Below are 18,114 nucleotides of genomic sequence, written 5' to 3' on the forward strand. Positions count from 1 at the left end.
GATGGAGAATATCAGGAGCTCAATTTGAACATGTTAAGTCTTAGATATCCACTAGACATCCTAACATAAATGTCAAATAGACAAACAAGGGAGAGGTCTAGGCTGAAGGTACGAATTTAGGAGTTCTCTGTGTACAGATGATATTGAAAACCACGAAACTAAATGAGATCACTGAGACAGCAGGTATGGAGCATGAAAAAAAGAGATTCAAGGCCTGGGCCCTGGGCTCTCCACTATTTAGAGGTGGGGGAGATAGACAACCAGTAATGGAAACTGAGCAGGAGACCAACGAGGTGGAAGAAATAAAGAGGCTGGTGAAGTCCTGGAATCAGGCAAAGCAAGCTTTGTAAGGAAGAGGGAATGATCGATGAGCTAAGTGAGATGAAAACCAGGAATTGATCACTGGATTCAGCAATAAAAGTGTCACTGGTTGGCCATGCGCGGTGGCTCACTCCTGTAATCCCAGCACTTTGGGAGGCCGAGGCAGGTGGATCACGAGATTAGGAGTTCAAGATCAGCCTGGCCAAGATGGTGAAACCCCATCTCTACTAAAAATTAGCTGGGCATGGTGGTGAGTGCCTGTAATCCCAGCACTTTGGGAGGCCGAGGCGGGTGGATCACGTGGTTAGGAGTTCAAGATCAACCCGGCCAAGATGGTGAAACCCAGTCTTTACTAAAAATTAGCCAGGCATGGTGGTGAGCGCCTGTAATCCCAGCTACTTGGGAGGCTGAGGCAGAGAACTGCTTGAACCCGGGAGGCAGAGGTTGCAGTGAGCCAAGATTGTGCCACTGCACTCCAGCCTGGGTGACAGAGCAAGACTCTGTCTAAAAAATAATAAAAAAAAAAGTGTCACTGGTGGACTTGACAAAGGCAGTATTGGTAGAGTGGTGGTGATCAAAACCTGACTGGAGTAGGTTTAAGGAAGAATGAGAGGAAAAGATAGGAAACAATGAGAAAAATCAGTAGAGAAGTTTTGCTGTGAAGAAGAAGCAAGCTGGTAGCTGGAAGGGGAAATGGGATCAAATTTTTTTAATAGAAAAAGGATTTTTAAACAAGATTTTATTTAAGATGGAAGAAAGTACAACTTTATGTACTGATTAGAAAGAAGCTGTAGAGAGAGGGAAGTTGATGAAGCAGAAGAAAGGGGAGAGAATTGCTGGGACCAGGTATTTGAGTAGGTGAAGGGAGATGGTATCTAGAATATAGCAGAGGAGCTGATTTTTAATAGATGGGCAGATAGTTTATTTACAGAAACAAGAGGGAAGGCAGAATATGTGAGCACAGATGCAGGGAGGTGGGTAGATGTGTTGGTGGGCACTTGAGGAAGCTCTCCTGATTGTTTCTATTTTCTCAGTGAAAGAAGCAAGGACATCAGCTGAGAAGGAGGATGGAGAAGGAGGTGACAGAATCTGGAAGAATAGGAGGTACGAAAGAATCATCTAGAGGAATGGGGGAATGAATGGTCTAAAGAAATGTGGTAGCATGGCCTCCTTAAGGTTAAGGAGCATACATTTTTTAGTGAGTACATTCTTCTCTGAATTCCAGTATTAACATTCTACATCATTCATTTGGCACTTGACACTCGTTACATTCAATTATCGATTAACTGTTCTTGAGAGTTCTATCTCCCTCTTTTTCCTGATTATACCTCACTTGTTAGGGCCTCAACTAACATGCCATAAGGAATCATTTAAAACCACATAACTGAGGGCTTCAGAAAATGTGAGAACATACGTGTGGCCCCTTGCTGCTGTGACTGTGCAGGGCGAGCCATCTAATTCTCCAGGGCAGTGTTATCAAGTCCATGGGGTTAATCTACATCAAACCACATCCTCCTGCCTGTCCTCTGTCTCTAGTAAAGGTGCTATTTTGGCCCCCATAGTTACTTTTTGTTTTATTTTTCAATGTATTCAAAAGGTGGCTGATGCAGTCATTTATTAGAGACCCTCTTGAAGACCCCAAGGAGATACAGAAGTGTTCAATACACATTTGAGACTAGAGGACATGCTAATGCAAATGTTGAGTTTGAGAGGACTCAGGAGAAGGATTTGGAGAGTTGAGAAAGATCAGACATCAGATTAGATGCCATACAATGAAAAGAGTCCACGGCCACACAGGGATGAGTGTCCAGGTGAGGAGGGATGCTGGGAGTTGCAGGTTTCTTGAGCAAATTACAAAAACAGGAGCTGAAAGTATAATGAGAGTGATTAGAGCAATAGTGAAGGTCTACAAGGCAGAGCTCTTTGATGCTGTGCCGCGCCGACCAGATTCCCCCAGCTGCTGCGAGTACTGGCCGTAAGGACCTGAATTGATCCCAGGATACTGATCTTGGCTGATGGTATGTCCAAGGCTATGCCTTCCTCCCTAGGGGCAACCCACAGCCAAAAGCAAGTCAAGGTTGGGGTACAAAGGTCCATCCCCCTTGCCTTAATTTAGGATCTCTGAAGGACTATCCAAGCCCCTGACCTCCCCATGGGTCCACTGAAGCCCCTGTTACATCTGTATCAACCCATCCTTCTGCTCAATCCTGTTTCCTTCACTCCCTTACAGCTGTTGTTGCCAAGAGCATTCACCAGTAGACCTGCATGGAAATCTCTGCTTCGGGTCTCCTTCCCATTCTATGGCAATTTTAACAGAAGAGGTCCTAAGAGGCAAACCGTTAAAATGGAATTTTGGAACTGGATCATCAACCAGCCACCTGGCAATGAGGACATCATCCCTCGTAGTAAGTGGAGTACTGATACCACCTGGCGTGCTGTGGCTGCAAAAGTTAAAACTTTTACCCGTGCAGAAGTTGTGATGGGATATCGGTAGGAAGTAATGAAAGCAATATCTCAGGCATTTGAGAGGCCTATCGAAAATTGTGATTATATGGAGTCAGATAGTGGTTGCTGGAGGCTATTGCTGCACTGCAGAAATATAATAAAAGATGTGAAGGTGATTAATTACCAATGTAAGATGATCTGTGAACATCACGGGACTTCCTTGGCAGCATATGAAGAAGCTCATCTCCTGTAGTCACAGGGGAGAAAAAGCAGAGGATCAGGCCAGGGACTTCATTATAAGGAAAGTGGAGTTCTGCAAAAGGCTGAATTTTCATGGTAAGTCCACTATGATAAGGTTAGGGCTTTGATTAGGAAGAAGTGGGACCCTGTGACTTGGGATGGGGACATCGGGTCAATGAATCTGAAAATCTCAAATTCTGAGATTCCCCTAAATGCTCTGGGCCTGCAGAAGTGACCTGCCTTTCCCTGCTAAACACTAGTGCTCCTCACTTGCTTGAAGATAAGAGGCTTCTGTCCTATAAGACAACACATGCCCAGCTCAGAAAATGCCCCTAGAACAATAATTAGAGTTAAGTCACGAAATAACTCATCCAGGGAGGTGTTGAGATCACTAGGGGAGAAAAGGGATCATACCCTTAAGGTGCTGTAGGACGTAGCCAACACCTATCAGCAGAAGCGAGGAGAGCATGTGTGGGACTAGACCTGAGGTTGCTAGATCAAGTGAGTGGCAGAACATAAACTTTGGTAGGTAGAGTTTATCCACATGGAAACACTCTTCAAGACACAAGATTCAACGCCTAGGCACTCTAGGAGACGTTGTTAATATGCTGCTAGGTTAACCATTGAATCTGCTATGGCAGATGGTTGAGGAAGAGATCCAAAGTCTCAGAGAAGTAGCTTGAGGTAAGGATATGTGGGCAATGGTAAACAGCTTGGATGATTGGTCAAGTCCTAGAAGGAGGAATATTGGAAGTCAGGGGACAGTGAGAACTAGGGAACTTAGAGATGGATGACCTGTGGGAGTGGGTGTGAAATGTGAAAAGCAGTGTATCACATATTAATGACCTCCAGAGAACACCTACTACAGAAGGTGAATTAAGCAACCAAGTAGACAGAGCGGCCAGGCTAGCTGACATCAGCTAGTCACGATCACTGCCCACCTTAGCACTGGCATGACTGGCCCATGAACAGAGTAGGCATGGTTGTAGGGATGGAGGCCATGCATGAACCCAACAGAAGGGGCTCCCACTCACCAAGGCTGATCTAGTTGCTGAATGTACAATTCACTAGCCAGAGACTAGTAAATGCTGCACCCCGGGGGCTGGTACTCAAGGATACCAATCAACCACTTGGCGGTAAGTAGGCTACATCAGAACTCTTCTACTCTGGGAGGATCAGTGATCCATCTTGGCTGGAATTGACGTATATTCCAGATATCGGTTTTTCTTTTCTGACTACAGGGTTTCAGCACCATTCTCCAAGGACTTAGAATCTGAATCAGTGGTACAAGACCTCACATAATATTGCATCAGGGAAAAGGACATACTTTGGAACAAAAGGACAAAAGAGGTATAGAAGTGGATGGACGACTATGGGATCCTCTAGTCCAATCACATATTGTACTACATAGAAGCCGCTAGCCTTCCTATTAGAGCAATGGGATATATCTTTGCAGGTACTGTTGAGGTGCCAGTTTTGAAATGATGCCCCGTGAAATGGGGTATCACTCTCCAGGATATAGTTCATACTCTAAATCAATAATCACATATGGTGCTATGTTACCAATAGATAGAATACAGGGTTATAGACACCAAATAGTGGAAGTAGAAGTGGCCCCCTTGGGGAATTTTATTTCCCGCAAAAGCAACTAACACTCTTTATCTAGAAGTCCTGGTTCCTAGAGGGGAAATACTTCCACCAGAGATAGAGTAAGAATCTGTTAAGCTATGACTGCCCCCCAGTCACTTCTGGCTCTTTGTAACCATCCTGGCATGGGTAATTGACCCTGCTCATCAGAAGAAGGTAAGATTACAGATAAAACATAGGCAAGGCTGTAGAGAAAACTAGAGTAACATAATTAACAAGCTTGATCTAATAGTAGAATTCCATATTCATGAAATAGAGAATGAAAATTCTAGCACACATAGAATATTTATGAAAACTGATGGCAGGTGAGATCAAAAGAAGTCTATTAAACAAATACTGAAGAGTTGATGGCTTGTAAGTTGACTATTGCTAAGCATTTTTTTTTATTTTTTTTGAGATGGAGTCTCATTTGGCGGCCCAGGCTAGAGGGCAGCAGCGCGGTCTTGTTTCAGGCAACCTCCACCTCCCTGGTTCAAGCAATTCTCCTGCCTCAGCCTCCCAAGTAGTTGGCATTACAGATGCACACTACCATGCCTAGCTAATGTTTTGTATTTTCAGTAGAGACAGGGTTTTGCCATGTTTGCCAGGCTGGTCTCAAACTCCTGACCTCAGTTGATCCACCCGCCTTGGCCTCCCAAAGTGCTGGGATTACAGGCATGAGCCACCAGGTCCGGCCTGCCAAGCATTTTTAATCATGCACCTTCACTGTTGTAGGTTAGGTTTCCTGGGAAGCAGACTCTGAGACTGAGATTCATGTGCAAAATTATCAGTTATAACCCAAACCTTGGCATCATGCAATATTCCCATGTAACAAACCTGCATGTGTACCCCCAATCTAAAATCAAAGTTGAAATTATAAATAAATAAACAAATAAACAAAAAAACCCCAAAATGTTTAGGGAGTGATCTCAGAATTAACACCATTGAAAGAGAGGAGAGAGAAGCAGGAATGAGCAGAGGAAGAAGTTGAGGAGCATTGCAGGATGAAGGAAGACCCCATTCCAATCAATGTGACCCACCAGGAGGAAGACCCCATTCCAATCAATGTGACCCACCAGGAGGAAGACCCCATTCCAATCAATGTGACCCACCAGGAGGAAGACCCCATTCCAATCAATGTGACCCACCAGGAGGAAGACCCCATTCCAATCAATGTGACCCACCAGGAGGAAGACCCCATTCCAATCAATGTGACCCACCAGGAGGAAGACCCCATTCCAATCAATGTGACCCACCAGGAGGAAGACCTCATTCCAATCAACGTGACCCACCAGGAGCTCTAGACTATGTCAGCCCTGCAGAGCTGGGGTAAGGGGACGCCTGAACGGAGCAAATTACCTTTGGAAGAAGGTGTGACCTTGAGCAAGGCAGTCCCTAAAGAAGGCCATCTTCTGGCAGCACTTCTGGAAGCTGGGAGAATTAATCAATCTTTCATTCCTGAAAGAGGATCTGGGTAGCACACCACAGAAAATTTTAGTATATATATCTAATATGCAGAATGCTTATTGACTTACAAATCATATACTTTTCCTATTATATTGATATACATGTACATTATACAACACAAAAAAGAAATTTATAAGTGATTAGATATTGATTAAATAATGTATTAAAACACGTTACTAATATGTGATGGTTTCATATTATTATTAGCTAATATCAGACAGTATACTTTTAGGGCAAACTTCACTATTTATGGCAGGTACATAAATACTTCTTTTTTAAAAAAATTATTTATTATTATTATTTTTGAGACGGAGTTTTTCTCTTGTTGCCCAGGCTGGAGGGCAGCGACGCGATCTCAGCTCACTGTAACTTCTGCCTCCTGGGTTCAAGTGATTCTCCTGCCTCAGCCTCCCGAGTAGCTGGGATTACAGGCGCGTGCCACCATGCCAGTTAATTTTTGTATTTTTAGTAGAGACGGGGTTTCACCATGTTGGTCAGGCTGGTCTTGAACTCCTGATCTCAGGTGATCCACCTGCTTCAGCCTCCCAAAGTGCTGGGATTACAGGCGTGAGCCACCACACCCGGCCATCGATCAAAATTTCTAATAATCTTCTTGATAATTTCCATTTTTTTTGGCCAACTTCTTGCGAGATTTGACTAACTCATTCTACCTTGTAATGCAGCTGACTAAAAGCTGACACCAGAACTGCCAGCTTTGCCATTTTCTCGTTGCTCACCTTTGCTTGCTTTGTTTTATCTTCAATTGTGCTTTCTTTGAAGGAATCCTTTTTTTTATAATTTTATTTTTTAATTAACAAATAATAGCTATACATATTCATGGGGCTTATGGCGATGTTTTGATACATACACTGTATACTGTTCAGATCAGGCTAATTAGCATATCCATCAGTTCAAACATTTATCATTTCTCTGAGTCTAGAAAATTCAATATTCTCCTTCCAGCTATTTGAAACTATATAATATATTATTGTGAACTGTATCATCCTACAGCGGTATAGAACACTGGAACTTATTCCTCCAATCTAGGTGTAATTTTGTATCCTTTAACAGACCTCTCCCTCTCCCTCCTTTCCCCTTACCCTTCCCTGCCTCTGGTATCCTCTGTTCCACTTTTTTCACTTCTATGAGATCTGCTTTTTTTAGCTTCCCCATATGAGTGAGAACATGTGGTATTTAGCTTTCTGTTCTTGGCTTATTTCACTCAGCATAACATCTTCCAGTGCCATCCATGTTGCCACGAATAACAGGGTTTATTCTTTTTTACGGCTGAACAATATTCCATTGTGTATGTGTACCCCATTTTCTTTATCCATTCATAAGTAAATTTTTTAAGAGGGCCTCCCTTCAAGGAATTTTTTGTGACGGTTAGTTTAGTTAAATTAAATAATTTAGTCTGACTATCCACTTACCCCATTACATAGAATCTACAATATTTCTCAATACGCTGAAAGCAAATGAAAGTGGGAGGATACCACTGTCGGCCTCTGCATTTTGGATGTCTCCTGCTTTGCTCAGGACACCTCACAGCTGTCTGAGATGCAGCCTGTTGAGGGCAACAGTGAACATCAGCACACAAAATATTAATCAAGATTAAGTTCTTATTTTGTAGGCAAAAATAAGTAGCAATGGTAGTTCTAGTATCTTCTGCCTGCACCTCTGTGGAACATTTTTCATGCTCTTTTGGGTAGCGGCACCCCATTTTGGAGATCTCTGATCTAGTGAGCAGAAAGTTTATGTACCCCAGATTTAGTACTTTTAGTCAGTGCTGAGAGATGCTGCTTTTCCAAGTTTTCTTCTTTTCCCTTATGCTATTGTTAATCACTTCTCCTTCTGTTAATACATATTTTCTTCATGAATGTTTTTTATTTCTAATTAAGTAATAGTCAAGCTGAGGTTCAAGTAGGCCTGTGAGACTATTTCCTACCAAATGTTTATTTACAGCCCTATTCTCAGGTTCTTAGTGGGCATCTCCGTCTGCCCACAACAATTATATGTGAAACATATACAAATTTCTGAGTAATTAAACATCAAGTTGAAAAACACATCGGACTGGCAAAAACATTTTTTTAAAAAACAAATTTTATTTAATGAGACTAGATTCTTAACACTACCTGTGTGGCCAAGCCTGGTGGGTCATGCCTGTAATCCCAGCACTTTGGGAGGCCGAGGCGGGTGGATCACCTGAGGTCAGGAGTTCGAGACCAGCCTGGCCAACATGGTGAAACCCCGTCTCTACTAAAAATAGAAAAAATAGCTGGGTGTGGTGGCACATGCCTGTAATCCCAGCTGCTTGGGAGGCTGAGGCAGGAGAAGTGCTTGGACCCAGGAGGCAAAGGTTGCAGTGAACCGAGATCGTGCCATTATGCTCCAGCCTGGGCGACAAGAGTGAAACTCTGTCCCAAAATAAATAAATCAGTAAAACTACTTGTGTATCAGAATTGCCTATAGCACTGAGAAAACAAACAAACAAACAAAAAACAAAGAACCCCAAACCGTACTAATTCTTGGATCCCACTTGCATTCATTCAGATTTTAGGGTCAGTTATGAGTAAAGACTTAAAAATAACACGAAATTCTCCATGATACGAGTTGATTGCTCTCTCACATAAATGACTGCTGGAGGTAGGGTGGCAATGCTGCTCCATGAGCTCCTCAGGGACCCAGGCTCTTTACTGCTCTTCATTCCTGCTCTTCATTCCAGGGCCTGGCCTCTGTCTTCATGGTCTAGTCTAGTGGCTGCAACTCTGGCCATCACATCTGTGTTCCAGGCAGGAAGATGGAGGAAGAGACAAAAATGAAATGGGCAAAGGCTGTACATCATCTGACTGTGAAGGCCAGTTCCCAGAAGCTGTCATGTGACAATCCCTCTGACATCCCATTGTCTAGAAGTTAGTCACATATCCACAATTCCATATAAGAGAAGCTGACAAATACGTTGTGTATTCTGGGCAACTATATGTTTAGCTAACAATTGGGACATTTATCCCTACATAAGAAGAGAAACTTTGGGGGACAGCCAACGGTCAATTTCCAAATCAACAACACTCTAGGCCTTGGCCAGCTTTGGAAATCCATGTGCATTTAGGATCTGGTTGGAGAAGGTTTTGCCCTAAGCTCATGCTAGGGATATCACACTATGGCTAGAATTAGCAACTGTTTGTGTGTCGTCTTAGAGAATGTGGAATTGCCCTAATCTCATGCTAGGGATATCACACTATGGCTAGAATTAGCAACTGTTTGTGTGTCGTCTTAGAGAATGTGGAATAGCCTAAGTACAGTGAAAATGTGCGCATGAGCGACTGCATTAGCTCTGCTCAGGTCATCTTATGAGATGCTTTCAGGCACTCATTCTGCCAGGCTACTTTCAGTTTGGGTGCAAAAGAAGAAATAAATATTTCAATTGAAATGTGCAGGGGGACCAGGTGCAGTAGCTCATGCCTGTAATCTGAGCACTTTGGGAGGCTGAGACAGGAGGATCACTTGAGCCCAGAAATTTGAGATTAGCCTGGGCAACATAGTATCTATAAAAAATAAAAAATAAATTAAATGCCCTGGTATTCTTTGGACAAGAGTTTAAAGTTCTGTTCATCTCTCTCATATTCCTCTTTCTCAGGGTGCTAGGAAAAAAATATTAAAAAGAACAAACAAAATGCAATCATTTTGTCCCATTTTGTCCCAAATTTGGTCCCATTGGTGATCCAGTCTAAACAGAGGTTTTCTCAGCCACTTTTGTCAACTATTATTTAGAAAGATACAGCAATAACCAGAAGAGTTTTTGGCTTGAAACTGCCACACAGAGTGTCCTGGAAACAAAACTAGGCATTATACAATTCCTGGGGATGTCATTCATATCTTTTCTATGTGGATGACAACCCCTTGGTACACAGTATGAATGGTGTCCGCTGGAGTTGTGAATGCTGCTGTCCTGCCTGGAAGCAGTGTAACTTGTCTGTTAATCTCAAAATACGTATAAGCTGGTAAGATAAGCAGATGGCACTGACAGTCCCAAGAATAGTCAAGAACTATTCTGTTCTTGCAGAAAGCTGCTTTTAAACATAGTCCAGAGAACTTGATTTAATCTTATCAATGGCTACCAAAAAGGTTCAGATAATCTAGTGAGGCTGCAATATTTCTGATTTCTAGGTATCTGTTTTAAAGACAAATCTAAGACCTTGAAATTTTAGGTTCCTACAGTGCAGTAGAGTGTGATTTGCATAAAGAATTCTGTAACATCATTAATCAGGGGAATTTAGGATTCCTCACTTTAATTGCTCTCATGCACACCTGTTCCTGCTGAAAGTAAATAGAGAGCAACTGCAGCTGCATGGTGGCTTTACTGATTTAAGTACTATCATTAAGAGCATCTTTCAAGCTGGGAGTCTTACAGCTTCAAGGGTGTTTCCAATATATAATTCCCATCAGAGTCAATGATCATTAGAACATATTTTTTAAAACAAAATCCAAAGTTTTTTTTTTAAGTTTTAAAATTATTAACAAAATCAGCCATTTAAGCAAGTATATGTTCAAGGACAGGAGAGGATATCCTGAAAATTTCATCATATTAACTACTATTATATGTGGGACCCAGCAAATTCGAATTAGTTTGGCTTCATTTGATGTAAAATAAGAAGGAATGAACTCATATTTTCTTCTTCCTGTTTTCTTTCTCATTTTTTTTCTTGAGATGGAGTCTTTCTCTGTCACCCAGGCTGGAATGTAGTGGCACAATCTTGGCTCACTGCAACCTCTGCCTCCCGGGTTTAAGGGATTCTCCTTCGTCAGCCTCCCGAGAAGCTGGGACTAACAGGCATGCGCCCCACGCCTGGCTAATTTTTGTATTTTTAGTAGGGACGGGGTTTCACCATGTTGGCCAGGCTGGTCTCAAACTCCTGACCCCAAGTGATCTGCCTACCTTGGCCTCCCAAAGTGCTGGGATTACAGGCATGAGCCACCTTGCCAGGCTGCTCTTGCCATTTTCTATTGGTCCTTAACCTTTACTGGGTCATGATACTTTTTTTTTTTTTTTTTTTTTTTTGAGACAGAGTCTCACTCTGTTGCCCAGGCTGGAGTACAGTGGCATGATCTCGGCTCACTGCAACCTCTGCCTCCCAGGTTCAAGTGATTCTCCTGCCTCAGCCTCCTAAGTAGCTGGGACTACAGGTGCTTCTACCACACCCGGCTAATTTTGTGTATTTTTAGTAGAGGTGGGGCTTCACCGTTTTAGCCAGGATGGTCTCGATCTCCTGACCTCATGATCCACCTGCCTTGGCCTCCCAAAGTGCTGGGATTACAGGCGTGAGTCACTGCGCCTGGTCGGGTCATGATACTTTTTAGAATATGATGTGAGATATGGTACCTTTTCCAAGAAATGTACTCAGATACATGTACACAAACTTTATCATAACATTTCAGGGGTTATTGACTCATAAAACCTATTCATAGACCCTCTAGTTTCAAAATCTCAATCTAGGCCAAGCGTGGTGGCTCACGCCTGTAATCCCAGCACTTTGGGAGGCCGAGGCAGGTGGATCATGACGTCAGGAGATTGAGATCATCCTGGCTAACATGGTGAAACCCTGTCTCTACTGAAACATACAAAAAATTAGGCAGGCGTGGTGGCGGGCACCTGTAGTCCCAGCTACTCAGGAGGCTGAGGCAGGAGAATGGTGTGAACCTGGGAGGCAGAGCTTTCAGCGTGCTGAGATAGCGCCACTGCACTCCAGCCTGGGCGACAGAGCAAGACTCCAGTCAGAAAAAAACAAAAACAAAAACAAAAAAACAAAAAAAACCCCCTTAATCTAGAGGCCACTGTAGGGTGAAAATAAGTTGTAAGAACTCAAAATTAATTCCAGGTTTGAAGAAAAAGTTAGTGGGTTTTTTTTAACACTGATTTGAAAGCAAGTCACTTTGGAGACAAAATTACTACTTTCAGGAATCATTTTTATTGATGTCTTTAATTTCACAAACCAAATTATATAAAATTAAGTAGTACACATTTCAAACATAATAATTGTGCTCTGTACAATTCAAGGCACACTTGGATTTTTTGTTGGTTTTTTGTTTGCTTTTTAACAACGGAAAACTTATACTCCATTCAAGATTTTTCCATCAGAACTTTAATCATTTTATTTGGGTTCACAGGTGAAAATATTGTGAAAGTTCATTTACACCACAATGAAGGATAACATCTTCAGCCCCATTTATTTACTAACAACTTTATTGAGATATAATTCACATACCATATAATTCACCCACTTAAAATATACAACTCAATGGTTTTTAATATATTGTTATGTGACCATTACCACAATAAGTTTAGACCATTTTCATGAACCATAAAGAAATCCTGTACCCATTAGATGAATCCTGTACTCCCCATTCATCACCCCCAATTCTAGCCTTAGGCAACCACTAATGTACGGAAAGTATTTTTTGTAGAGACAGGGTTTTGCTATGTTGCCCAGGCTGGTCTCAAATTTCTGGCCTCAAACAATCCTCCTGCCTCAGCCTCCCAAAGTGCTGGGATTACAGGTGTGAGCCACTGTGCCTGGCCCTTTATTTCTTTTTATGGCTGAATAATATAGTCCATTGTATGGATATACCAGATTTGGTTTATCTATTCATTAGTTCATAGACATTTGGGTTGTATTCAGCTTTTGGCCATTATGAATAATTCTGCTATAAATATTTGTGTACAAGTTTTTGTATTGACCAGCCCCTTAATTTTTAACTACACAAGGCAAAAAGTAAAAAGAGAAGAACTCTTACAACAAAATCATACAAAATATGTTTTGCAACAATTTTAGATTTTTCAAGATTCAACCATTTCCATATGTAACATCACAGAGGCTTGTCATGACAGGAAAACTGGTGTCATTACTCTATCACAGAATTGGGAAATCCTAGAAGGTTAGATGTTCTCTAAGACCCTTCTTACACTAAGTTAACGACTTACTACTTTCTATTATTTCTCCATAAACAGAAGAGGAAAGACCAGAAGAGGAAAGGCTTGCCACACTAACCTAAGTTCCCTGTGCTGGTTTGAAGTACTCAGTTCCCTTACCAATTTCCAACTGTCTTTTTCCTACAACTTTAATGTTTGTTGAGTGTATGTATGATTCATAAGATTTCTGATCAATACTATGTGTGTGACATTGAAAGGAGTCAAAATGAATGTATGACTTAGCTGCATTTATCATTTATTAATTGATGACACATTTATCCAATGATAAAAGCATTTGAGAATCTCAACTTATGCCTGAGCCTCTTTCATTAGCTATTATGGTATTATATTCACACAAGTTCATGCATTGAATTTATCTGATAAGGACAGATTCAGAGGCATAGGAAGCACATTCCTAAAGATTTGACCATTAGAGTCGTTACACAGAAGATTCTAATGATTATTTATTTTGCTTTGTATTTCAGAACAATCTTACTTTGGATTTTTGATTTAATTTCACTGAAATTCAGTCAGCATTACCTGATGCTAGCATGTGAGGCATAATCTGGAAGACTGAATCACAATTTACTGCTAGGGGAGCCTGCCAAGCTTTGCCATTCTTTCAGGGGAGGGTTTCCCTGAGAAGCCAGTTTTTTTAGATAGTCACTTGGCTCCAGTTGGGGAATATCAGGGTTCTGCCTGTAATATTTCTGCAATTTCTCTAGAACTGTGGGCAACCCAACTGTGGAAGCATAGAACATGGGCCCGCCCTTGTGCCTTGGCCATCCATATCCATGTAAATAGACAACATCAATGTGCTCTGGGCTAGCAGCTATCCCTTCTCCCAAGATACGGAATGCTTCATTGATAAGTGAATATAAGCAGCGTTCAAGGATCTCATCCTGGCTAATGGTACGTGGTTCAATGTGATGGGTTTTTCTATACCGTGATAGGAATTTGGAAAGCCAGGGATCAGGTTTGTGAATCCTACCCAATGGCTTGTCATATTGATACCAACCCTTACCTGTCTTCTGGCCAAATCGTCCTAATTCACAGAGCACATCAGGAATTGGGCAGTACCTCCTATTACCCCTTTTTCGGGCAGGAGTTCCTGGAAGCAATGTAGGTCCAGTAAGACCTTGCCCCTTTCTAGATTTCCAGCCCACATCCAACCCAGCAAGATCAGACACTCTAAAAGGTCCCATTTTAAAACCAAACTCTTCCAGCACCTGATCTACCTCCTCTGGTTTGCTGCCTTCTTCTAACAAGAAATATGCCTGATTGTAGTAAGGATTCAACATTCGATTCCCCACAAATCCAAAACAGTTGCCTACAACGACTCCAATCTTTTTAATCTTTTTTGATAAGTTCATAACAGTGGCAATGGTAGTGGGGGAAGAGTATTGGCTGGGAATAACCTCTAACAACTTCATGACATGAGCTGGCGAAAAGAAGTGGGTGCCAATGACCAAGTGAGGACGATCAGTGGAAGAAGCAATCTCATCAACATCCAGGGCTGAAGTATTAGTGCACAAAAATGCTTCTGGTTTGCACACAGCTGAGAGTTCAGCAAAGACCTGCTTCTTCAGGCTCATTTCCTCAAATACTGCTTCAATGACTAAATCTACACCACCAAGCTCCTTCACAGATGAAGTTAACCTGGGTTTTGGTCCTGACCAAGGGTGGCCGCTCTGTTGCATTTTGGAGGCTTCTTTTTCCAAGACAGAGGTTATCATCTTGTTTGCAGTTGCTAGCTGGTTTTTGTCCGAGTCTACAGCAATCACAGGAATCCTGGCCCTTGCAAAAGAAATGACAATGCCTCGGCCCATTGTTCCCAAGCCTGCAGATAAAAATCAAAGGAGAAAAAGAATGATTCAGTGGTATTGGGAACTGATAAATTATTCACTGGATGGAAGGCTTATGTGACAATGTGGCATTTAAAGAGATTGAGTCAAGAAACACAAATGGATTGAGTACTAGTTAAGACTCTGCACTCTCTTAAGTGTTTCAGAGGATATAAAAATTAGTCAGATTCACACACACAAATAGAAGCTATACAAACTAATAAATGAGTCCAACGAGATTGTAGGTACACAATTGATATACAAAAATCAAGTATATTTCTATATATTAGAAATAAACAATCTGAATATAAAATTAAAAGAAACAATTCTACTTACAATAGCATCAAAAAGAATAATACACAGGAAGAAATTTAACAAAGAATAGGAGGATTTGTACACTAAAAAGTACAAAACATTGTTAATAGAAATTAAGTAAGACCAAATAAATGGAAAAACATTAAATGTTTTTGTATCAGACAACTTAATATTGTTAAGGTGGTAATACTACCCAAATTGATGTGAAGAACCAACACAATTCCTATAAAAATCCCAGCTGGTTTTTTGCAGAATCAATAAGCTGATCCTAAAATTCACATAGAAATGCAAGAAATCCAGAAGAGCCAAAACAATACTGAAAAAGAACAAAGTTGGAGGATTCACTCTTCCCAATTTCAAATTGTATGACAAAACTATTCAAGGTTGGGTGAGGTGGCTCGTGCCTGTAATCCCAGCACTTTGGGAGGCCAAGGTGAGAGGATCACTTGGAACCAGGAGTTTGAGACCAGCCCAGGCAACACAGTGAGACTCCAACTCTATAAAAAATTAAAAATTAGCCAGGGGGCCAGGTGCAATGGCTCACACTTGTAATCCCAGCACTCTGGGAGGCCGAGGTGGGCAGATCACCTGAGGTCAGGATTTCAAGACCAGCCTGACCAACATGGAGAAAACCCGTCTCTACTAAAAATACAAAATCAGCTGGGTGTGGTGGTGCATGCCTGTAATCCCCACTACTTGGGAGGCTGAGGCAGGAGAATCACTTGAACCCAGGTGGCAGAGGTTGCAGTGAGCCAAGATCGCACCATTGCACTCCAGCCTGGGCAACAAGATTGAAACTCTGTAACAACAACAACAACAACAACAACAACAACAACAACAAAAATTAGCCAGGCATGATGGTGCATGCCTATAGTCACAGCTATTTGGGAAGCTGAAGCAGGAGGATATCTTGAGCCCAGGAGTTTGAGGATTGCAGTGAGCTATGATCACACTACTGCACTCCAGCCTATGTGACAGAGTGAGACCCTGTCTCAAAAAAAAAAAAAAAAAAAAAAAAAAAAGAAGCCTATAGTATTTAAGACAGTGTAAGATAGTGGTCATTGCAAAAGGATAGACATATAGATTAGCAGAATAGAACTGATAGCCAAAAGCAAACCCACACAATTATGGCCAATTGATTTTTAACAAGAGTGCCAAGAACATTCAACAGAGAAAGTATAGTCTTTTCAACAAATGATGCTGGGACAACTGGATATCCACATGCAAAAGAATGAAGTTGGACCCTTACCTCACACCATATACAAAACTAACTCAAAATGGATCATAGGCCTAAATGTAAGAGCTAAAACTATAAAATTCTTAGAAGCAGATCTTAGGAGTAAGTCTGATGGATGGATACATCTTTGTGATCTTGAATTAGGCAATGGTTTCTAAGACATGACACCCAAAGCACAAGCAACACATGGGTAATAATCACATGAAAAAGTGTTCAACATCAATAGTCATTAAGGGAATGCAAATCAAAACCACAGTGAGATAATGCTTCAAACCCACTAGGATTGCAATAATGAAAAAGACAGACAATAACAAATTTTGGTGAGGATTTGGAGAAATTAGAACTCTGATACATTGCTGGCAAATTTTTTAAATGGTACAGTTGCTGCAAAAAACAGTTTAGCAGTTACTCAAAATGTTAAACATGGAGTTACTTTATGATCCAGCAATTCCACTGATATCTAAATCTCCAAGAGAACTGAAAATACATGTCCACATAAAGCTTGTACATGAATGTTCAGTAGCAGCATTATTCAAAATAGCCAAATGCAGCCATAAAAAAGAATAAAATCACACACTTGCAACAACATAGATGCAGCTGGAGGCCATTATCCTAAGCAAATTAACACAGAAACAGAAAACCAAATACTGCATGCTCTCACTTATAAGTGTGAGCTGAACACTGGGTACACATGGCCCCAAAGATGGGAACAATAAACACTGGGGATTCCAAAAGGGGGAGTGAGGGAAGACGGAAGAGTTGAAAACCTACCTATCGGGTACTGTGTTCACTACTTGAGTGAACATTAGAAGCCCAAACCTTGGCATTACGCAATACATACACCCATGTAACAAACCTGCACACGTACCCCCTGAATCTAAAATAAAATTAAAAAAATAATTTCAGAAACCCTGAGCTAAGGCTGGATCCAGAAAATTGTGTATATTACCTGTACACAGAATGTATACACATCTTTCTTATCTCCTCCTTAAGAGAAATAGATCAGTGGCTATCAGTACTTGTTAATTAAACTAGGGGGCATTATATCTTCAACAGAATCAACTGTCTTCCACAGAAATGGAATATTCCAAAATCTGAGATACGATGAGACATTTTAAAATGAAATCTATTAATTTAGTGTAGTTCTCCTGCTTTGTGATTTTCCTGTATCAATGTCACTTGGCATTTTTTAAAGCTTTAAAATATTTTCCTGTAAATTTTGCATTTATACAATAAAAATAAATTTCATTTTCTCACGTTAAAAAATTAGCCAAAAAATAGAAGCAATTTGAATGTTCATCAACTGGTGTATAGATACACAAAATGGAGAATATTATTCGGCCATAAAAAGGAATAAAATACGAGGCGGGTAGATCACCTGAGGTCAGGAGTTCAAGACCAGCCTGACCAACATGGTGAAGCCCCATCTCTACTAAAAATACAAAAATTAGCTGGACGTGGTGGTGCACACCTGTAATCCCAGCTACTTGGGAGGCTGAGGCAGGAGAATCGTTTGAACCTGGGAGATGGAGGTTGCACTGATCCGAAATCACGCCGTTGCACTCCAGCCCGGGCAACAAGAGCAAAATTCTGTCTCGAAAAAAAAGAATAAAATAATGATACATACTATAACATGAATGAATCTTGAAAGCATT

General features: G+C 41.2%; 1 protein-coding gene and 1 long non-coding RNA gene across 5 annotated transcripts in view; one reads left to right on the plus strand and one right to left on the minus strand.

Moving 5' to 3' along the window:
• The window catches only part of EHHADH-AS1 (EHHADH antisense RNA 1), a 29,055-nt gene extending 15,684 nt beyond the window's left edge, over positions 1-13,371 (plus strand). The window contains exons 3-7 of the long non-coding RNA NR_038990.1: positions 1,356-1,425; positions 1,919-2,132; positions 2,552-3,102; positions 4,248-4,356; positions 13,103-13,371. This is a non-coding gene — a long non-coding RNA (EHHADH antisense RNA 1). The remainder of the gene's footprint in view (positions 1-1,355; positions 1,426-1,918; positions 2,133-2,551; positions 3,103-4,247; positions 4,357-13,102) is intronic.
• EHHADH (enoyl-CoA hydratase and 3-hydroxyacyl CoA dehydrogenase) overlaps positions 12,040-18,114 on the minus strand; it is a 63,426-nt gene continuing 57,351 nt past the window's right edge. For all 4 annotated transcript variants that reach the window (NM_001966.4, NM_001166415.2, XM_047447641.1 and 1 more), the window contains one exon: positions 12,040-14,903. In NM_001966.4, the coding sequence (NP_001957.2) occupies positions 13,642-14,903 (1,262 nt within the window). In that variant the 3' untranslated portion in view covers positions 12,040-13,641. The remainder of the gene's footprint in view (positions 14,904-18,114) is intronic.

This window comes from Homo sapiens, chromosome 3 (genome assembly GCF_000001405.40).
Source record: "Homo sapiens chromosome 3, GRCh38.p14 Primary Assembly".
Classification (NCBI taxonomy): domain Eukaryota; kingdom Metazoa; phylum Chordata; class Mammalia; order Primates; family Hominidae; genus Homo; species Homo sapiens.